This window comes from Homo sapiens, chromosome 1 (assembly GCF_000001405.40).
Source record: "Homo sapiens chromosome 1, GRCh38.p14 Primary Assembly".
NCBI lineage: Eukaryota > Metazoa > Chordata > Mammalia > Primates > Hominidae > Homo > Homo sapiens.
In genome coordinates this window covers 30,132,310-30,155,404 of record NC_000001.11, presented here as the reverse complement: position 1 = coordinate 30,155,404, position 23,095 = coordinate 30,132,310, and the positions used below count along the sequence as shown (strand labels likewise).

The 23,095-nt window shown below is 47.1% G+C and overlaps 1 annotated feature.

Moving 5' to 3' along the window:
* Positions 772 to 1,585: an enhancer, noted in NCBI's record as "OCT4-NANOG hESC enhancer chr1:30626667-30627480 (GRCh37/hg19 assembly coordinates)". NCBI's record gives its function as "activates a minimal SCP1, AML or CMV promoter by ChIP-STARR-seq in naive and primed H9 embryonic stem cells {active_cell/tissue: H9 hESC(naive and primed)}" and the evidence as "EXISTENCE:reporter gene assay evidence [ECO:0000049][PMID:30033119]".

Here is a 23,095-nt window from a genome sequence, read left to right as displayed (position 1 = left end):
CATTAATGAAGCGGGAAACCATCATTCTCAGCAAACTAACACAGGAAGAGAAAACCAAACACTGCATGTTCTCACTCATAAGTGGGAATTGAACAATGAAAACACATGGACACAGGGAGGGGAACATCACACACACGGGCCTATTGGGTGATGGGGGGCTAGGGGAGGGATAGCATTAGAAGAAATACCTAATGTAGATGACGGGTTGATGGGTGCAGCAAACCACCATGGCACATGTATACCTATGTAACAAACCTGCATGTTCTGCACATGTAGCCCAGAACTTAAAGTATAATAAAAACAATATATATATAAAATAAGGAATTATGCCCATATGTGTTATTAAAATGGGTATTTATTTGAAATTTAAAAAAGAAATAATCTTCTATCAGAAGCTTCAATTCTATTTTTTGTGTTTCACAGAGCCAGGCCAGTTGTCACAATTCACATTCAATGACTAATCTTTCCCTTGAGTTGAAACATACACATTTAATTTGCATGTCTGTCTATGTACTTAACATACGCACATATTTGAGTGTGTTTTTTGATTCTTCATTATTTGTCTGCTCTGTTGTTTTGAAAATCGTGCCCTGCATCTCTTGCGTTGATAAGCTTTTCAATTACTGTGACTCATTTCTCAAGTCTATCAATATCTGCTTTGATTTAATTTCTTCTGTAGGACTTTTCCTATCTATTCTCACATAGTCACTCTTCCATACAAATTTAAGACAATTGTATGAATAAGTGTCTACCTTATTTATCCTCTCTCTAAGGACTAAGCTCTGATTTTTTTTCTTATCTTGTCCAAATTCCTATCTAAGGGGTCTAGGGAGTCATGCCATACAAACCATAAGTTCTCCTCAGATGGGTTTTATTTAACCCTGTATATTGTGACTTACTTTCCAATCTGACTCTGGTGTAACATGATGTGACAAAGAAGAAAATCAAAATATTTTACCCCAAAACATGTTTCTTTTCCACATTTTGAAATGACCCTGCAAAGCTGTCCTTCGTGGGGAAAATTTACATCTGTAAAGAATCTCTATTAACATAGGTAGAGCTTTTTCTTCCAGGCCCTCCCAATCCTGAAGAGATTAACTAAGAGTCTAGCACCTTTTAAAGGTCTGAATAGGAAGCATTTGTCATCTATTGTCTCTATGGGCAGCCACTATGAGACTTCAAAAGAACCTTGGTCTCTACAATCTTTTATCTTAACCTGAACATTTCCTTTCTATTGATCTTCAGGTCTTCAGATAAACTCAACCAATTGTCAACCAGGAAATGTTTAAATTTACCTATAGCCTGGAAGTCCCCCTGCTTTGAATTGTCCCACCCTTCTGGACCAAACTAATGTATTTCACAAATGTATTTGATTGATGTCTCATGACTCTCTAAAATGTATAAAACCAAGCTGCACCCTGACTGCTTTGGGCGGATGCTCTCAGGACTTCCTGAGGGCTGTGTCATGGACCGTGGCCACTCATATTTGGCTCAGAATAAATCTCTTCAAATATTTTACAGACTTTGACTCTTTTCATTGACACTCTGTACACCCTACGAATCTGCACAATAACCTCAGTCAGAGAATGTGGAGAGTGCTGTTTCCACATATTGAAGTTTATTGGCATTTTCTTTGGGATATAATATTTGATCCATTTAATAGACATACATTTTTAAAAGATATATTTCTTGTTTGCAGTGTAAAGAATAATCTATCAATCTCATTAATTATCCTACTTATGGCCTCAAATAATCTTAGTTCTTTCTTCTTGATATGTTACCAGCAGAGGAAGACTGGCAGTTTCCCACTGATACTATGTTTCTGTTGGATTTTTCTTTGTATTTCCTTCAGCTATTATTTCATATACTGTATCTTAACTTTATATCATTGGTTCAAGTTGATTAAAGGACATTCTATCTTCACTGTGATTGTATCCTTAATATAATTTAAAAGTAGCCCTCTGTATTAGTCCATTCTTGCACTGTAACAAAGAACTACCTGAGACTGGATAATTTATAAAGAAAAGAGGTTTAATTGGCTCATGGCTCTGCGGGCTATACAGGAAGCATGGTGGCATCTGCTTCTGGGGAGGCCTCAGGGTGCTTTTACTCATGGAGAAAGGCAAAGTGGGAGCCGGCATCTTACATGGCAGGAGCAGGACCAAGGGGAGGAGTGGGAGGTAAACAACCAGATCCCATGAGAACGCTATCATGAGAACAGCACCAAAGGGATGGGGCTAAACCATTGCAAAAATTTATACTTCCATCTGCTGTGCATGAGAATATGGATGATTTATCATTATTTTAATTTGCATTTCTATGGTTTCTGGTAAGGTTGAACATGTGTCAACCACCTCTCTCATGAAGGAGGATCCCCATGATCCAATCACCTCCCATCAGGCCCCACCTCCAACACTGATTACAAGTGAACATAAGATTTGGGTGGGGAAGTAGATCTAAACCACATCATTGTTTCCCTGGCCCCTCCCAAATCTCATGTCCTTCTCACATTTCGAGATATAGTTGTGCCTTCCCAATAGTCCCTCAAAGTCTTCACTCATTCCAGCATTAACTCAAATCTCCACAGTCCAAAGTGTCATCCGAGACAAGGCAATTCTCTCCCGCTATGAGTCTGTAAAATCAAAAGCAAGTTAGTTACTTCCAAGATACAATGGCAATAAAGGCATTGGATAAATACTCTTTCCAAAAGGGAGAAATCAACCAAAAGAAAGGGGCTACAGGCCCTGCACAAGTCTGAAACCCAGCAGGGCAGTCATTAAATCTCAAAGCTCCAAAAGAATCCCCTTTGACTCCATGTCTCACATCCAGGGCATACTTGGTGCAAGGGGTGGGCTCTCAAGGTCTTGAGCAGCTCCACTTCTGTGGCTTTGCAAGGGTCAGCCCCCACAGTTGCTTTCAAGGGCTGGTGTTGGGTGCCTGTGGTTTTCCAAGTGCAATGTGCAAGCTGCTTGTGGACCTACCATTCTGGGGTCTGGAGGATGGTGGCCCTCTTCTCACACTTCCATTGGACAGTCCCCCATTGGGGACTCTGTGTGAGGGCTCCAACCCCACATTTCCCCATCACTCTGCCCTAGCAGAGGTTCTCCATGAGGGTTCTGCCCCTGCAGCAGGCTTCTGTCTGGACATTCAGGCTTTTCCATGCATCCTCCAAAAACTAGGCAGAGACTCCCAACCCTCAACTCTTGCCTTCTGTGTACCTATAGGCTTATCACCACAGAGAGGCTGCCAAGGCTTACAGCTTGCACCCTCTAAAGCAGTGGCCAAGCTGTACCTGGGCACCTCCTAGCCATGGCTGGGGCTGGAGCAGCTGGGATGCAGGAAGCAGCGTCCTGAGGCTGCACAGGGAGTTGGAGCCCTGAGCCTGGCCAACAAACCATTCTGTCTTCCTAGGCCTCAGGGCCTGTGATGGTAAGGACTGTTGTGAAGGTCTCTGAAATGCCTTCAAGGCCTTCTCTCCATTGTCTTGGCTATCAGCACTTACCTTTCTTTTAGTTATGCAAATTTTTGCAGACTGCTTGAATTCCTCCTCTGAAAATGGGCTTTCCCCCCACCCCCCCACATGGCCAGGCTACAAATCTTCCAAACTTTTATACTCTACTTCCCTTTTAAATATACGTTCAAGTTTCAGGTCATTGCTTTGCTCATGCACACAAGCATAGGCTGTTCAAAGCAGCCAAGCCACATCTTGAATGCTTTGCTGCTTAGAAATGTCTTCCGCCAGACACCCTAAATCAACACTCTCAAGCTCAAAGTTCCACAGATCCCTAGATCAGGGGCACAATGCAGCCAGGCTCTTTGCTAAAGCATAGCAAAAGTGACCTTAACTCCAGTTCCCAGTAAGTTCCTCATATCCATCTGAGACCTCCTCAGCCTGGCCTTCACTGTTTGTAAAACTATCAGCATTTTGGTCACAAACTTTCAACAACTCTCTAGGAAGTTCCAAACCTTCCCTCGTCTTCCTATCGTTTTCTGAACCCTCCACACTCTTCCAAACTCTGCCCATTTCTCAGTTCCAAAATTACTTCCACATTTTCAGATATCTTTATAGCAATATCCCACTCCTTGTACCAATTTTCCATATTAGTCTATTCTTTCACTGCTATAAAGAAATACTTGAGACTAGGTAATTTATAAAGAAAAGAGATTTAATTGGCTCACCCTCCCACAGGCTGTACAGGAAGCGTGGCGGCACTGCTTCTGGGGAGGCCTCAGGGAGCTTTTACTCATAGAGGCCAAGTGGGAGCAGGCAACTTACATAACAGGAGGAAGAAAAAGATGGGTGGCAGAGGTGCCACACACTTTTAAACAACCAGATTACATTAGAATTCTATCATGAAAACAGCATCAAAGGGATGGTGCTAAACCATTCATGAAGGATCCACTCCCATGAGTCAATCACCTACCACCAGGCCCCACCTTGACAGTGGGGATTACAGTTGAACATAAGATTTGGGTGGGGACACAGATCCAAACCATACCACCCTCTTTATCCATTTAGTTTCATTTCTCCCCCCACTGGCCTGATCTCTGTTTCCTTGAATTCATTATTTACATTAGACTCTTTACATTTCTGGTGTTGCTTTTTGTTGTTCTATCTTTTTGCCCATCATTAGGGGTGTTTCTGGCAGAGAACACAAAAATAAGAAATGTTTTAACCCAATGTGAGAGAATACATTACCAGCTTTATTTATCTTGTATCTAATTATCATTATAGCAGATATTTCAGGTTGTGTTTCTCTCACTAATTTCCATATAAAAAATTTATTCTTTTGTGGTGCTTCATTCGCCATTTATTTGCTTTATGATTTATTTTTATTTGTCCTTCCCCCTCACTTTTTTTGTTTTTTCGAGACAGAGTCTTGTTCTGTCACCCAGGCTGGAGTGCAGTGGCACAATCTCGGCTCACTGCAAACTCTGCCTCCCAGGTTCACGCCATTCTCCTGCCTCAGCCTCCTGAGTAGCTGGGACTGCAGGCACCCGCCACCACGCCTGGCTAATTTTTTGTATTTTTAGTAGAGACGGGGTCTCACTGTGTTAGCCAGGATGGTCCCCATCTCCTGACCTCGTGATCTGCCTGCCTCGGCCTCCCAAAGTGCTGGGATTACAGGCGTGAGCCACCTCGCCTGGCCCCACCCTCCCTTCTTTTATAATTTGGTTGGTATGTGCTCTGGTTTAAATTTTATGTTTATACTTTTAAATCATGGGTTTAGACTGATCAGCTTTGTGCCTATTGATTATCTACCATGGAAGAAGAGACATAAAGACACATTGCCTCATTTCCTGTACCATCCCTCTCATTTGTTGGTGGGATTTTTGTTCCAGTGTATGATCATCAAATTATTATTTACTATTGTGTAGCTTTTCTTTCAAGAGCCATAAAAATTATGTCCGGTTTTGTAACCATAATTATTGTTTGACTTAATTTCATGTTTAAAATGATTCAGTATTTCCAGTCTTTCCACACTACAGCTTTAGCAGTGTGAGTTCTTCATTTTGAATTCTCTTTCAGTTGAGTGGTTCAAGTCTCCATGTAGATTCTTCTGAAAGGTTATGTGAAAGCCCTGTTTCCTGAGTCCTTATTTCCATTGCCTTAGCAAGGCTGGAAGTTTGGCTTTATACGCAACCCTTGAGTAAAACTATTTCTCCCAATGCAGCTTTGCTATTTAAACCTTGAATCCACTGCTTGGAGCCTGTATGGAAGAATGGGGGAAGAGGTCTAGCAAGAAGACAAAACACCTGGTTTAGTCTTCACTCAGGGTGGCCTACTGAAACACTGGCCCAGTTCCTTATCCCTCTCATTCTTTCTTCTTGCCACATAATTGATTTCCCATTTCCTTGACTTTGGACTTGGCCACGGGGCTTACCTTGGCCAATGAGATATTAGCAGATGTGATTCAAGCAAAGGTTTTTAAATGCGTGTGGCTGGGTTTGCCCTCTTAAGCTTCTGCCAACCCCATGAAAGTTGATGCCCTGGATAGCCTGCTGGTCTCAGAAGGATGAGAAACTCACGGAGCAGATCTGAACCAAACCTGTGGTCTGGAGCCAAGCCGAGCTGAGCCCAGCCAAAATCAGCAGAGTCGTAGCTGCCAGCCACATACAGTGTGAAAATAAATGACTGTGGTGTTAAGCCAGGAGTTGGGACTGGTTTGTCATGCAGCAGCACTATGAGAAGGTGACTGATGCACCCTGTCCTTCTCTTGCTCCTGTCACGGTGTTGTACATGTCACCTCCCTTCTCTGGGCCTCAGTTTCTTTAACTATGACATGAAGGAGTTGATCACTGGGTGACTTCTAGGGTCTCTTCTAATACTAAGATTCTGGATTTCAATACAGGGTTTGGTGGTGAGAGGGAAGGAGATTGTTCTAGCACAGGGGTGCAAAGAAGGCTATGTTGGAAAGGGAATGGGAGGGGGACGTGTTTGTCTCACTGGAGCAAGTGACCTGAGAGATGCAGGCAGGGGTGGGTTGGGGGCTTGGAGGCCTGATGCAGAAATGCTCGTGCTTGGGCTTCCCAGGAAGCTGTACCTGCTCAACCCCCACCTGCTCCTTAACCCCTTGTAAATCAGCTTCAGACCCCACCATGCTGCTGAAACTGCCTTCTCACTGAGGACTTCTTATTACCAAATCCTCACTCTTGAACTTGATGCTTCCTCCAAGCCCTCTTCCCTGTCTTCTGCCCCCACACCCTACTGGCACTCCCCTGCTCCATCTGCCCACCCTCTTTCTATCTCCTTCAATGAGTCTACTCTGAAGGGATCTCCCAAGGCTCTCTCCTCTGCTTTTCTTCCCAGCCTAGGAATGGGCGTGGAATTCAGGGATATGGATCTCAGGCAGAGAACCTGTGTATCATAGGTCAGGGTTCCAGGCAAGCCACCCAGAGGGTACCAAAAGCAAGCATCTTCTGAGTACCACCAAAAAGTAAATAGTCCTTTGCTGTTGTTCTAAATAACCTAAAGCCTTAGGAAGAGAGCTTTGGACAAACACGAAGAGGCTTAGTGCTGGGCTCAGATCACTACTGGGTATTATGTTTGTACGGCCACTTGGCATCTCCAGCACGATCATTCTTACATAGGATATTCTGTGCTTACAGCTACAATAGATGATCTGAGCAGGGGCAGCGAGACTTCTCAGGCCAACTTAAAGCAAAGGTAGTCAGTTTGCATTTCTCTCTCTATATATATTTTTTGAGACAGAGTCTCACTCTGTCACACAGACCGGAGTGCAGTGGCATCCTCTGCTCACTGCAAACTCCGCCTCCCAGGTCTAAGCAATTCTCCTGTCTCAGCCTCCTGAGTAGCTGGGATTACAGGTGTGTGTCACCACGTCCAGCTAATTTTTGTATTTTTAGTAGAGATGGGATTTCACCATGTTGGCCAGGCTGGTCTGGAACTCCTGACCTCAGGGGATCCTCCCAGCTTGGCCTCCCAAAGTGCTGGGATTACAGGTGTGAGCCACTGTGCCCAGCCTGCATTTCACTTATTTTCCACACAGGATGGACTTCAAAATGCTCTTCCTCCAAAAACTTGTTTCCCCCTTTCCTCAGGCACTTGTCCGCTCTCTCTCACTGCTGGCCTCTGCCATTGTTCTGTGGTCCTGACTTCTTAGCACATCCTGAACACCAGCCTGTGGCTTGAAGGATGCTCCATGGTTCATCTTGCAATAGCCTTTGCCTTGGAACACACCTTTGCTTAATAAATGTGCTTGCTGTTCTTCTTATAAGCCCCTTTCTACCTGTGTAGGAAACCATTGCTAGACAAAGCCTTTCAAGCCTGTGTGCATCCCACAGGTTCTCAGCGATTCCCCCACCCCGTAAGAACCAGACCCCTCATAATTAACCCTGCTGAAAAATACCTGGGATTTATCACCAGTGGGACTTTCACTTACAGAGCTGATAGGCATCTTCAAGCTTATGTGAGACTGGAAAGCAGCATGTTCAAGGAAAAAAGGGATGAACTTGGAAGCAGATACACCTGGCTTCAGATTCTGGCTCCATCCTTAGCTGGTCATGCGCACATCACTCCCAACCCTCTAGTCACACACAACAATGTACAGTGTCTGACGCATCGTTGGCATTCAATACGTCATCGTCTTTCCTCCATAGGACCTAGTCCTGCCTCTGGTTTTTAAATTAGCATCAATCGTATTTCCCCTATTTTAATCTAATTGTCTGCTTAATTGCTTATGCCCTCCCAAGGTCACTTAGATTCTGCACCCTTAGTCCAGTGCCTGCCACAAAGTGGGTGCCCAGTGAAAATAGCCTGATGTAGGAGAACATATTGGAGTTCTGTGAAAAACTCTCTCTGTGTATTCTGTTTTTCAGAAGCACTCTGCACATCCCAGATCTTCTTTTCTGTCTTCCATGTCCGTTGTCCTCACTGTTTTTGTTATTACAACTTCATTCTTTCCCATTTTAAGTTGAGTAATTTCCTCTCCATTTCCCCGATGGAATTTCCAGCGATGATTTATCATCTTGGGGTTGAGTTTTATGTGGCATTCATCTCTGTTAATGTTTTCATCTGTTTTGTTTCTCCCCTACAATGTACTAGCTCATTTTTCTCCTCTCATTTTATAACTTCCATGGATAATTCTTCTTTGAATTGTGACTCTTTTCTCTGAGTCTGAGTTTTTGTCATTCTGCCTCTGGTTCTTTGGCGATTCCTCTTGGGAGGCAGGTTCCTCCTTTCTTCGCTCTTGTGCTCATCCTCTTTATCAGAGAGGCATTTCCTGTGTGTGGGGGGGCGCCCGTTTTGCTCTTGCTGGTCTTTACGAATCTCAAGGGGGTGGCCATTTGTTGGGGGGCAGGGGAACTGAGCTGGGTAATCCTTAACTCCAACGTGGGATCATCATCCCGAAACCTTCAGAGAAAATACATAATTTCCTTTGCCCTGGGCGTGGGGGGTTCTATCTTCCTCACTTTTCAGGGTCAAGAAGTTGTTGCTACTTTTGGCAAAGCTTGTTAAGTCTCCAGGTCTCTGTGAACCAAGGCCCAGGGTCCCCCCTCCTCCCTCCTTCAGACCTCTCATTGCGTAACCAGGGGGTCAGGTGTGGAGAATGTCTATGGCTTGCCACCCTGGTGCCTCCTCTGCTCATCACCCCTGCCATGCTGAACTGGGGAACTGAGTCCCTTGCAGCCTGCCCCAAATTCACCTCTCCTCTCTCCAATCAAATGGTTAAAAGGTCACCAGACTTTTAATGTTGCAGAACTTAGATTTCATTTATCCTGCCTAGTGAATGACCACTCCATTGCAACAGTACCCTGGACCAAAAGTCTTGCAGTCATCCCTGATTCCTCTTTTTCTCTCATGCCCACACCCAACCCACCAGTTAACCCTGCTAGCTCCTCTCTCAACATGGGTCCAGCGTCTGGCCCCTCTCACCACTGCACGGCACTGTCCCACGCTGGCCCATGCCACCATCCTCCCTCCCCTGGCAGCACTGCAGCAGCCTCTCCCCTGGCCCCTGCTTCCTCCCTGCCTTGGTTTCTTCTCATACCATGGGTAGAGGTGCCCTGCACAGACATGAGGCCATGTCCTGACATTCCTCTCTACCGAGGTCCAGGAGACCCTCATGGTTCACCCCATTGCTCCCAGTGCCTTCTTCTGTTACTGACTGTCTTGCTCTCTTCACCTTCTTGCCAGCTGTTCCTTCTGCCTGGAATGCCTTTCCTCATTGCCTGCTGAACTTTAACTCAGCCACTGTTATAGAATGAATGTTCACGTCCCTCTAAAATTCATATAACTAGTGCCCTTTTGAAAGAGACCCCAGAGAGCTCCTTCGCCCCTTCTGCCACGTGAGGACACAGTGAGAAGGCTATGAGTTAGGTAGCTGGCCCTCACCAGACAGTGAATCTGTGGGCACCTTGATCTTGAACTTCCCACCCTCCAGAACTGTGAGAAATAAATTTTTATTGTTTACTAGCCACGCAGCCTCTGGTATTCTTTTATAGGATCTCAAATAGACCAATGCAATAACTGTAATGGTTTGCTATGGCTGCCCAAACAAACTGCCACGAACTGGGCATCTGAAACAGCAGGAATTTATTATCTCACAGTGCAGGAGGCTAGACATTCAAGATCAAGGTGCTGGCAAAATTGATTCCTTCTCTAGGCTCTGAGGAAGACCTTGTTCCAGGTCTCTCTCCTTTTCTGGCAATCTGGGGTTCCTTTGCTTGGAGATGCCTCACCCTGATCTCTGCTTTGATGATCACATGGTGCTCTCCCTGTGTGCATGTCTCTCTGCAAAATCTCTTTTATAGGAGGACACCAGTTGATATGGTTTGGATGTTTTGTCCCCTCCAAATCTCATGTTAAAATGTGATCTTCACACTGTAGAAGGTGGAACCAGGTGGGAGGTGATTGGATCATGGGGGTGGATCCTTCATAAGTGGTTTAGCACCATCTCCTTGGTGATGAGTGAGTTCACATGAGATCTGGTTGTTTAGATGTCTGATGCCTTCCTCATCTCTCTTGCTCCCGCTCTCACCATGTGATATGCTGGCTCTCCTTTGCCTTCCACTATGATTGTAGCTTCCAGAGGCCTCACCAAAAGCAGATGCTGGTGCCATGCTTCCTGTATAGCCTGCAGAACCACAAGCCAAGTAAACCTCTCTTCTTTATACATTACCCAGCCTCAGGTATTCCTTTTAGTAATGCAAAAACAGCCTACCACACCCTGTGTGATGTGGCTTGGCTGTGTCCCCACGCAAATCTCCACTGGAATTGTGCCTCCCAGAGTTCCCACACGTTGTGGGAGGGACCCAGAGGGAGGTAATTTAATCATGGGGTCCAGTCTTTCCCATGCTATTCTTCTGATAGTGAATAAGTCTCACAAGATTTGATGGGTTTATCAGCGTTTCTGCTTTTGCTTCATCCTCGTTTTTCTCTCGCCACCACCATATAAGAAGTTCTTTTCACCTCCCGCCATGATTCTGAGGCCTCCCTAGCCATGTGGAACTGTAAGTCCAATTAAACCTCTTTTTGCTCGCATGTTCGGGTATGTCTTTATCAACAGCATGAAGACGAACTAATGCAGTACATGGAGCGTTACGGAAAAGATATCCGAAAATGTGGAAGCAACTTTGTAACTGGGTAACAGGCAGAGGTTGGAACTGTCTGGAGGGCTGCAAAGAAGACATGAAAATGTGGGAAACTTTGTAACTTCCTAGAGACTTTTTGAATGGCTTTGACCAAAATGCTGATAATGATATGAATAATAAGGTGCAGGCTGAGGTGGTCTCTGATGGAGATGAGGAACTTGTTGGGAACTGGAGCAAAGGTGACTCTTGTTATGTTTTAGCAAAGAGACTGGTAGCATTTTGCCCCTGCCCTAGAGATTTGTGGAAGTTTGAACTCAAGAAAGATGATTTAGGGTATCTGACAGAAGAAACTTATAAGCAGAAAAGCATTCAAGAGGTGACTTGGGTACTGTTAAAAGCATTCAGTTTTATAAGGGAAGCAAAGCATAAACGTTTGGAAAACTTGCAGCCTGACTATGCAATAGAAAACAGAAACCCATTTTCTGGGGAGTAATTCAAGCTGGCTGCAGAAGTTTGCATAAGTAGCAAGGAGCCTAATATTAACCCCCAAGACCACAGGGAAAATGTCTCCAGGCCATGTCAGAGAGCTTCATGGCAGCCCCTCCCATCACAGGCCCAGAGGCCCAGGAGGAAAAAGTGGTTTTGTGGGCCAGGCCCAGGGTCCCCGAGCTATGTGGAGCCTATGGATTTGGTGCCCTGTGTCCCAGCCACTCCAGCCATGGGTGAAAGGGGCCAAAGTACAGCTTGGGCTGTAGCTTCAGAGGGTGGAATCCCCAAGGCTTGGCAGCTTCCACATGGCATTGAGCATTCAGGTGCACACAAGCTAAGAACTGAGGTTTGGGAACCTCCACCTAGATTTCAGAAGATGTATGGAAATGCCTGGATGCACAGGCAAAATTTTGTAGCAGGGGTGGGGTCCTCATGGAGAACCTCTGCTAGGGCAGTGAGGAAGGGAAATGTGGAGTTGGAGCCCCCACACAGAGTCCCTTCTGGGGCACTGCCTAGTGGAGCTGTGAAAAGAGGGCCACTATCCTCCAGACCCCAGAATGGTAGATCCACCAACAGCTTGCACCATACACCTGGGAAAACCACAGACACTCAATGCCAGCCTGTGAAAGCAGCCAGGAGGGAGGCTGTACCTGGCAAAACCATGGAAGGGGAGCTGCCCAAGACCATGGGCACCTACTTCTTGCATCAGTGTGACCTGGATGTGACACATGGAGTCAAAGGAGATAATTTTGGAGCTTTAAAATTTGACTGCCCAGCTGGATTTCAGACTTGCATGGGCCCTGTAGCCCCTTTGTTTTGGCCAATTTCTTCCATTTGGAATGGCCTATTTACCAAATACCTGTACCCCAATTGTATCTAGGAAGTAACTAGCTTGCTTTTGATTTTACAGGCTCATAGGCAGAAGGGACTTGCCTTGTCTCAGATGAGACTTTGGACTGTGGACTTTTGGGTTAATGCTGAAATGAGTTAAGACTTTGGGGGACTGTTGGGAAGGCATGATTGGTTTTGGAATATGAGGACATGAGATTTGGAGGGGCCAGGGGTGGAATGATGTAGTTTGGCTGTGTCCCCACCCAAATCTCAACTTGAATTGTATCTCCCAGAATTCCCATATGTTGTGGGAGGGACCCAGGGGGGTAACCTCCCAGGGGAGGTAACTGAATCATGGTGGCCAGTCTTTCCCATGTTATTCTCATGAGAGTGAATAAGTCTCATGAGATCTTATGGGTTTATCAGGGATTTCTGCTTTTGCTTCCTCCTCATTTTTCTCCTGCCACCACCATGTAAGAAGTCCCTTTCACCTCTTGCCATGATTCTGAGGCCTCCCCAGCCATGTGGAACTGTAAATCCAATTAAAGCTCTTTTTGGTCCCAGTTTCCAGTATGTCTTTATCAGCAGCGTGAAAATGAACTAACACACTGTGTTAGGGTCATGTTGGATTAAGACCCACCCTAATAACCTCATTTTACCTTGATTACTTCTGTAAAGACCCTATCTCCAAATAAGATCACATACCTTACCAAATAAGGTATGGGTGGGCTAGGGCTTTAGCATATGGATTTCAGAGGTGGGGCACACTTCAGTGCTTAACAGTCACATTCCCAATTTACAGCTGCAGAAATGCCATGAATAGCCACAAGAATTTTGAAAAAGAACAAAATTAAAGTTCTTATACTTCCAGACTTCAAAACTTACTATAAAACTACAGTAATCACCAGGCACAATGGCTTGCACCTATAATCCCAGCACTTTGGGAGGCTGAGACAGGAGGATTGCTTGAGCCCAGGAGTTTGAGACCAGCCTGGGCAAAATAGGGGTACCTCATGTTGTAACCCCAGCCACCCAACCCTTGGTTCTACTTGTATCATGGAAGTTGGAGTTTACTCCTCCAATTTTTAATTGCTTTTTTGTAGTTTTAATGAATTTCCATCTTAAGTCAGAACAAAACAAACATCACCCGTATAGCTCAGGGTCATCTCCCCCAGCCCAGAGCCCCCAACATCACAGGCCCTCTGCCTGCCTCGACCCCAAGCCTCATGTCCAGTCCATCTTGCATGGAAGCTGCAGGAGGGTGGGGTACAGGTATCAGGTGGCCCTGGCTGATGGGGCCCCAGGGCGGGAAGAGCAGTGGCTTCAAAGCCAGCAGAGTCCACTCATGAGCACTGACCATGATGCTGGCCAGGTCCAGGTCTGTTCTGCCTGCGCACAGTAAATCAATCACTGTGACACAGGTTTTGCAAAAGAGAAAAGATTTATTTGCCAGGGCACAGAGTGAGGAGGAAGGAGAACAGCTCCCAAATCTGCCTCCCTGAAGATAAGCCTTAGGAATATTCATAGATTAGGGAAGTGGATGGTCTAAGGTGTGGGGAAGGTGATTGGCAGTGGGGAACAACCAAGTAACAGGTTCGTTCTGCACAAGCATAGCTGGAATTCATGGCATTTCATAGGATGTGTGTACAGAAAATGGTGACATTTGCATCATCTGAGGGTGGGGTTTTTGGCCCTCTGATGTCAAAAGGCACCTACTGGGCATGTATGCAGGCTCAGTTGAAGGATCAGTGGTACCAACAAGTTTGAACTGCACAGGAGCTGGCCAAAGTTCCTGAAAAATTGCAGAAGCCATCATAGCCACGGTGACCTATAAATGCTAATTATAAAGCAGCCAGTGAAGGTGAGGTTTCAGCGTTCAGTGGAGAGGCCTTCAGCTTCATGGAAAAAGGAACAAAAACAGAAACAAAAAGCAAGTGAACAAAGCTAGTAGGGCAGGCTGACCTGATCAAAATAATCCCTTGGTGTCAACCATGCCCACCTTCAGCAGAGACACCACCCGCAACCTGGTCAGCTTCCCTAGCTCTTTTCCTCAGTCTTCAACGCACAGGTTAGCCTGATAAAGACACCTTCATTCCCTGGCTCAGGAGTGGGAGGGGGACTTTCTCCACCACCAAGTCCAAACCCATCTCCAAACCCGTCTGGCTTCCAGCTCCAGCTGGCAGAGCAGTGACTGCTGGATGTCACTGTTAGTGCCCCGGCCCCTGGCTGCTGGCAGGGTCTCCCTGTCCTCATGGGCAGAATGAGGTTCTCTCCTCCACCTCAACGGTGGCCTGGTTGCCCAGGCTGAGCCTATCAGGAGACCAACCTGCATAGACACGCTCAGCATCCCACGGGATACCTTGATTTGGATGCCATCACAGGGTCCTCCACGTGAACCCCCTCGTGGCTGGGGGCCCAGGCTCCAGGCCTGTGTGAGGATGGTGGTGGGGAGGATGGGGCATGCCCAGCCCTCAGTCCCAAGAGAACATGGGAGGAAGAGAGACATCAAGCGACAGGCCTAATCCAAATTGCCCTTGAGATCTCCCTTCTCCTCTCACAGGGCAGCACATCTCAGATAATCCCAGAGTCAGCCTCCCTCCTCATGCCCAGAGCGGCGCTGCCTGGGGCCTGTGCTGAGCCCCTAACAACAGCTCCCAGCTTCCTCCCAGCACCCCTCACCACTCCCTACCTGCTATTCTCTGCTCTGGAGCTCCCGTGGTAGGACCAGCTCTCTCCCCGTGAGAACCTTCCAGACAGAGGTGGCTTTACCAGAGGCTGACACAGCTTATGTTTCAGGGGCCTTCAGTCTCCAGAGTCCATTCTAAGGCCCTGGTTGGGCTCCAAGAGATGTGGTCAATGAGCATTGTTAATTCACGGATTAGTTAGGATTAGTAGCTGTGAAGAAACTTTGCCATGCCATGAAATTTTACAGTTCATATAAAAAGACCCTTGGCAGGGATTTCCCTAATTTAACAACAACGCTGAAAATTTGCATGACATAATCCATAATGGATGGCGAAGGAGAAAGAAACTTTTTGAAACTGTCCATAGCAAAAAGCCACTTTGATGAGAATCTGCTGGAGGCTGAAGGAGAGCTTGAACTCACTTCCTATTATCTTTACAAAGAAAAATATGACAAAATCATTGACCAATGAAGAGGTGAACAAAGAAGGCGCAGCCTAAACAATTTATGGCAGAAAGGCATAAAAGTGTGTCGGGATGCTAAGGAATGCATTGGGTGTGATTTTCCTCGATTTTGTGATGTTTTCAGTAATGGCTGGTTTTTGAAATCTGTAATTTATTGCTTTTCTTTTCTCACTCTAAATAAATATTAAATTATGAAGCTAATTTTGAATCCTAAGTCTATGGTTTTTTAAATTATTATTTTATTTTTTATTATTTTTTGAGATGGAGTCTTGCTCTGTCGCCCAGACTGGAGTGCAGTGGCACGATCTCGGCTCACTGCAAGCTCCGCCTCCTGGGTTCACGCCATTCTCCTGTCTCAGCCTCCCGAGTAGCTGGGACTACAGGCGCCGGCCACCACGGCCGGCTAATTTTTTATATTTTTAGTAGAGACGGGGTTTCACCGTGTTAGCCAGGATAGTCTCAATTTCCTGACCTCGTGATCCGCCCGCCTCGGCATCCCAAAGTGCTGGGATTACAGGCATGAGCTACTACGCCCGGCCTGTTTTTTTTTTTTTTTTTTTTTTTAAAGGATCCCCCAAATGGTATAATTTTCAGAACCATGAAACCTGGATCTGCTGCATCTGAGGTCTTCCTACTGCACTTAGAATAAAATTTAATTTTTTCCCCATGGTGTGGAAGGCTCCCCAGTCCCTCTCTATCACCACCTCCTAGCACTGTGTCCATCCCTCGCCACACTGCAGACGCTGATTTTCTCCCAGTTCCTCTAATTACTGAGCTGAGCCGCACTTTGGCGACTGCATTTGCTATACCTCCTACCTGGAACCTCTCGGGTGGATTTTCCCTTCTGGTCATTCAGGGATGAGCTCCAGGCCACCTCCCCTGAGAAGACCTCCAGGATAATCCTATTTAAGGTGGAGACCCCTTCCCATCCCACCCCACACCCTACCCCAGCCACTGTGGCAACCCTCTGCTTTGTTTATTTATCTGAAAATACAATGTTCCCTCTACAGTGCCTGTCCCTTCCCCCAACTGGGAAGCATGGTGGGGTTGGAACACACTTGACTGGATCTTCAGTACCTAAAACAGTGCCCAGCACATGGTGAACACTGTGGATGAAGAGACTATTGGTTGCAGTTTGAATTAACACCTTCTTTCTGGAAAGTGTGCTAGCAATATGTCTTGAGAACCTCAAAATGTGCAAACACACTAACCCCACTTCTAGAAATTAATCCCAAAGGAACCATCAGAAAGGTACACAAAGGAGTTTAGCTAAGCAGTAAAGACCATGACTTTGTAATAAATCTTTGGTTCTAATCTTGGCTCCACCAATTAAATAGCTGCTGGGCGACCCTGGGTACATTGCTAATGTCTCTGAGTCCTGATTTCCTCATCTCTAAATAGGGATGGTAATGGTAACGTCCAAAGAGGGAAGCTTGAGGCTCACATGAGGTCCCATATGGAAAGTGCTTACACAGAGCCAGGCGTGTGAACACAGCTCAATGCCGACTAGTACTGTGTTCCGTGATGCTCGTTATGGCATTGTTTATAGTAGAATAAAATCTGAAAGAGCCTAAATATCTAACCACAAGGGATTGTCTAGATAAGTGATGTGACACCTTTAGATAAATTACTATACATCCTTGAAGAGTCTGCTTTCAAATATTTAATAATGCAAGTAAAAGCTCACAAAATGAGATTAAATGAAAAAGGTAGGACACAGTCAAATAAAGTGTGATCCTACTTTTGGTATTTAAATATATGCCTGTGTTTATTGGAGTGTGAAAGTGGATGTGTATACTGCAAGAAAATGCAATAAAATCAGGCCATCTATGAATAATGAAATGATGGTAATTTTAATTTTCTTTTCATTTGTGCTATAAGCATGTGTTACTTTAAAGTCAGGGGAGGAATAACACTATTTTTAAAGTGTACAGAGGATGTTCAGTTTTCTTACAGACAACATGTCCTGACCACAGCTGTTATTTGTGGATGGGAGATAGTGGATTAAACTACTGGCTCTAATTCTTCACCCTTCCTTGTCCCTATTCACTTGACTGTGCAGTTCCTTCCTTACAGAAGGCAGAGTCACCCTCATGGCCTTTTCCCACTGGGTTTGGTGTGTGACTTCTTCTGGCCAGTGGAGTGTGGGAAGAAGTGACAGTTGCGAGTTCTGTGTCTTAAGAAGTTTGTGACAAGGCGCGGTGGCTCATGCCTGTAATCCCAGCACTTTGGGAGTCTGAGGCGGGTGGATCATGAGGTCAGGAGATCAAGACCATCCTGGCTAACATGGTGAAACCCGGTCTGTACTAAAAATACAAAAAATTAGATGGGCGTGGTGGCAGGTGCCTGTAGTCCCAGCTACTCAGGAGGCTGAGGCAGGAGAATGGCGTGAACCTGGGAGGTGGAGCTTGCAGTGAGTGAAGATCGCGCCACTGCACTCGAGCACTCCAGCCTGGGCGAGAGGGTGAGACTCCATCTCAAAAAAAAAAAAAAAAAGAAAAGAAGTTTGCACGCTCCCAGTGCCCTCTTGTCTGCCATTGTCATGGGAATAAGCTGATGCCCTGGCACATGCAGCAGTCCTGCAGCCCAAACCTGCAGCTGAGAACCACCCAGCTGACCTGCAAAGAAGTGGGAAATGCATGCTTACTATTGTGTGCCTCTCAGATTTTGTGGCTGTTTGTTACACAGCAATAGCTAACTGATACAGTGTGATTGAAATGTTTCTTTCACCTGTACTCAGGTCCATCAAGAGGATGCGTTTGTTGCCTCAGGAAGGTACAGCTGGATTGCAATGATAAGCGAACTGAAATCCAAAACATGTAAAAAATCAACAAACCAATTCTCAAGGATCTGCAGGGCAAAGAAGCCCTGACCTTCCCCTAATGATCTCAGCATATTTTCAGATGCCATTAGCATCTAAGATTTAGAGTCATAAAAGGTCAAAATCTCCTTGTCCTTAGATATCTTCCAGTCCTAAGACAACAACATGCGGTTCAAGTATGAAATTGTTGCCTAGTTTTCCATTGAATGGGCGTAGCATAAATAACTTTACCTCACTGAGGTCACGTGCAGATTCTTTCCAGTTTTTAACTGTTATGAGCAACATCCTATGCATTAGATCTCCATATACATCTCTGATTGTTTCTAAGGGCTAAATTCCTAGAGGTAGATTTCTGGGTTTGGTTATGCATATTCATAAAGCATCCAGTATCTGAGTGTCATTGTCCTCATCTGTTTGATGGAAGAAACTTGACCTCAGTGACCTGCATGATTTCTTCTCCTCTCCCCAGCTTCCCATTGTATTCAAACACCCCTGGGCAGGATGAGCCCTGAAACTAACATTATCCAAAGTCCTTAGTTTGATTAACTCAGACCTGAACCTCAGAAAGCAGGGCCCTGAGAGAAGTGGGAGCTGGAAAAGGCGAGCAATGAGGGTATCAGATCTTCCTTCACCCTCACACAATCCCATACAATGGATCCTCTCCCTGCAGCCTTGTGGGGCAGGTGAGAAAACTGTTCCCAATGAGTACCTGAGGCCAACTCTGCATCTGGACTGATTTCACAGCCCAGAGCCCTGAAGCTGTGGTGCTCTGCCCACTACCCGTCATTCCTCCAGGCAAGAGAGATAGCAGGTTGACCCCCTGTTCACCTCCTTCCCCCTATTCAGATGAACCCATGTCTGAGATCTGACTGGCCACCTGTGACTCTGCCTCACTCTGGAGCACAACATGTGGAGGGAAGAGCCTGGGACTCAGATGCACACGGGGAACCTGAGCTCTAAGCTGGGCTCAGCTACTGACCCGCTGGATTTCCTCAGACATAATTTCACCTCTCCAGGTGAAGTGAGACTGTCCAGCTGTTCGACCAAACAAGAAATTTTTTTTTCTTCCTGCGCATATAGCACAACTACATCTCCCAGCCTCCTCTGCAGGTAGGTGGGATCATGTGACTACATCCCAGCCAATAGCATGTGAGCAGAAGCATAGCACATAGCATGTGCTATGTCCACTTCAGGCCTTTGAGAACCTCCCATGAACTCCTCGCATTTTTGCTGGTCCAGTGCAGATAGTGCAGATGAGCAGGACCACCTGCCCTTCTTTCCTTGCCCAGGGGAACATCACACATAGCAGCTTGCTCCATCAGAGCATGCAGGCTAAGAAGGCAATAGAAAGAGTTGGCCAGCAAGATGGAAACTGGGTGTTGACAGGTGGGTGCCCTCCCCAGGGGCTATCCCGGAACAGACCCAGCCTCATTCCATCTCATGATACCTACCAATCAAGAACACCTGCTTTGGACATACAACTTGATTGCACTGGAGCCATTGTACATTTGGGGTTGGATTGTTAGTGCAGTTCATGTTCTCTTGAGTATATTCAGAATTCACTGAGCAATCTGCGCAGGCCCCGTGCTCCCTGCAGCGCACACATCTGCCTTTTCCACCCTCACAACAGGACTGTGATGTTGGGACTATCACCTCTGTTTTCCAGAGCAGATTAAGCTGGGATTCAGCCTCGGCTTCTGAATCCTGATCCCATGCCAGGCAACAGCTTAGAGGTTCTGGAGGACCTAACACTCCAGAATCCCACTGACCCTTGCTTCCTGCCTGATGAGCAGAGTGGTGAAGAGCCTGCAGGCTGGAGTCTGACAGGCCAGGGTCCAGGCCCTCAGGGAAGGGCTTGGTTTACCTATGCCTCAGTTTCCCCATCTGTCCAATGGAGCTGCATGACAGGATCCCCGACACGGGGTCTTTGGAGGGTGGAATGAGATCCTGAACATACAGTGTTTGCCACCGAGTGTGGACTTTTAGGGTGTGGGGTGGGTCACATACTCACCCGAAGCCAGTGCCCCCGCACCCGCCTCCCCTGGCCGCCTCCAGCCCTTTCCACCCCGGCCCTCTGCCTTCCTGACTCATCTTTAAGTAAAGGCTTTTCTTCGCCTCCGCGCAGCGCTCCGAAGCTCTGCTTTCCTGGAGGAACTGGGACACCTCCATCCATAGTGTTCTCAGGAAGCCCAGACGTGTCAATGATTCATTAGGCTGACTTCTCCATCAAGGGGTCTGGATTCTGGAAAACTTTTCCCCCAGTGGTCTGCTGAGAGAGTCACAGGGTCCTACTGTTTAGTGAGTCAGGAAGAGAAATGAGCCTGTTGCTCCCAAAGGGCGGAATGGCTGCTTGATCTAAGATAAGAGGGGAGGAAGGCTGACCTGGTTTGCACTTTTTTTTCGGGTGAGGGTGATGTGGGGGGTGCTGGCTTTCCAGGACTTCTCCCCAGGGCCGGGCCAGGATTCAGGGCAGGAGCAGGGGGAGGTGTAGGTGCTGCTGGCACTTGCGGTGGGTGGGTGGGGTGGAGTGGAAAGGCTGTTTGGAGGAGAATGAAAGTCTGCCCTGGCCTGTGTCCATCTGTGTGTGGCCCCATGTGAGGGAGCCTGGGCTACTAAGGTTCGGTCTCCGCTACCAGCTCTGGTCTCTCTGACCTCCCCCAGTTCTCCCCAGGGCTCAAGGGCCCCCCGTCACCACACACCTCTGCATCTGTGCTCAGCATTCTGGTAGTGGTTCTTTTCTTCATCTCAATGGTTGGGATGAGGACCGGAAACTAAAAATAGATGCAACCAAATTAAACAAGTCTATTAACTTCTATTCAGTTAAAGCATAAGCTGGCATTGCTGGCTTGTTGCATTTTAAAGCTGAAAGGAGCCTGAGAAGTTATTGGACCTAACACCTTCAATGAGTGTGACTTGCTCACTACTTAAACAGTGGGTCTCCTTGCCTTAGGAGGGAGCCTGACCCCTTAGCTCTGTTTCAGTTTGGTGGCACATTTGACCCCAGGATGCTTCTAGCCTCCTCTTTGTCACACTTGTAAATGGAAACTCTCCTCTGATGATGACACTTGTTGTTCCAATATGTTATGCACCTGCTCAGGTCTAGGTCTTTCTGTCTTTGTCTTCAGTCTGTCAAGTCCTCACTCTTCCCACCTGTGAAATTCTCGGCCCAGGTGTCCTCTCCTGCTGAAGCCTTCTCTGGTCCCACCAGGTGGAGCTAACTGCTCCATCATCAATGCTCTCCCAGCAAGCTAACCGGTCAGGGCCTTTGCCCCAGGGTGCCTGCCCCCTGCCTGGTGGAGCATTCCCTTTGCTGTTTGCATCAGTGTCCCTTCTCATCCTTTAGGTCTCAGAGAGCTCTTTCCTGTCCCCCACAGTCCAAGGTTGTCACTGTTCAGGCTGCCCTGAGCCAGACCGTAACATCATGCCATTTTGATTTCTCCGTTGCACCTGTCGCTACCTGGAATAGTCTTGCTGATGCATTGTTTATCTGTCTCTTTCTGCCTCCCCACTCCATGGTGTCAGCTCCTGGGGTGCAGGGACGTTGTCTGTTCACTGCTGCAGCCCAGGCCCCACACAGGGCTGCACAGGGTAGAATCACAGTGAGCCTTGGTGGGGTGAATAAACCTGAAGTTGAGACTTCCTCCAGATCCCAGGTTCTCTCCCTCCACTGTTCCTGAATGATTGCTGCTCCAGAGCAGAACACCCTTCTTTACCATGGCTGCCTGTACTGGCCATGCTGGCTCTCCTGGGCAGCACAAGGATCTCAGAGCCCCAGGCTGGACCTAGCCAGGCCACCCCCCTGTGATGCTTTATGGTTCCTCTCTGGACTCCTGACATCAGCCACATTTTGAGAGTATGGAGAAGGAGCGTTAAGGCCAGTCAAGTGGCTAAATCACATTTTTTAAAAATGGGCCAAACATGGATTTACACAATAGCCTGTGACAAATGCAGCTTCAGGGGACAATCTGGCAGGAAACATCCATTTTTTCAAAGGGCACACATGGCCCTGGTAGAAATAATGAGGGCTTTTTTAGGATTGTAATTATTCCCAGGTGCTGACAGGCCAAAGATCTGATCACTGCCGTCACCCAGCACTCACATGTGCACCCAGCAGGCTCTATTCTTGGGTCTCCAGGTAAGCGTCCTGCTCCCAGGGGTGGCTGGCATGTCCAGTGTATGTCCTTGTGGTTCCTGACCCCTCCTGCCCATGCACAGTCTTGGAGGGAATAGGACGCGGGAGGCTCCTGTGAGCACAGGGCCGGGGAAGCAGCAGGTCCTTGGCCAACGGTGTGTCTTTTCTCCTGCCACAGCTCTAGGGCAGGGGAGGCTTCAGCGTCTCCCGAATGTATCCAACAGGCTCCTGAGGGTGGGGGTGCAGTGATTAGAGATTGGGGCTACAAGGCTGTTGCTTAGCAGAGAAATAAGGGCCCCCACTGTACAAGCTGGAAAGGGCCGTGGTGGCTGCCCACCTGAAGGCTTGATGGTCCTGATGGGGGAATAGAGGCCTATGGGTATGCTGAAGGGTGAATGATGTGAGTGCTGGGTTCTGGGAAGATTGTCAGTGCTGAGGTCCCTGCAGGAGGGACGGACTCACCCATGTGGTGCAGCTGCAGAGGGCCAGGCACAGCCCTTGGCCTTGGCATCTTACTTAGGGTTCATACCAGCCCTGTGAGCTAGGTGTTAGCCTGTTTCCCAGATGAGAAAAGTGAGGCTCAGAGAGGTTAAGTGACTGGCCCAGCATCCCACAGCAAA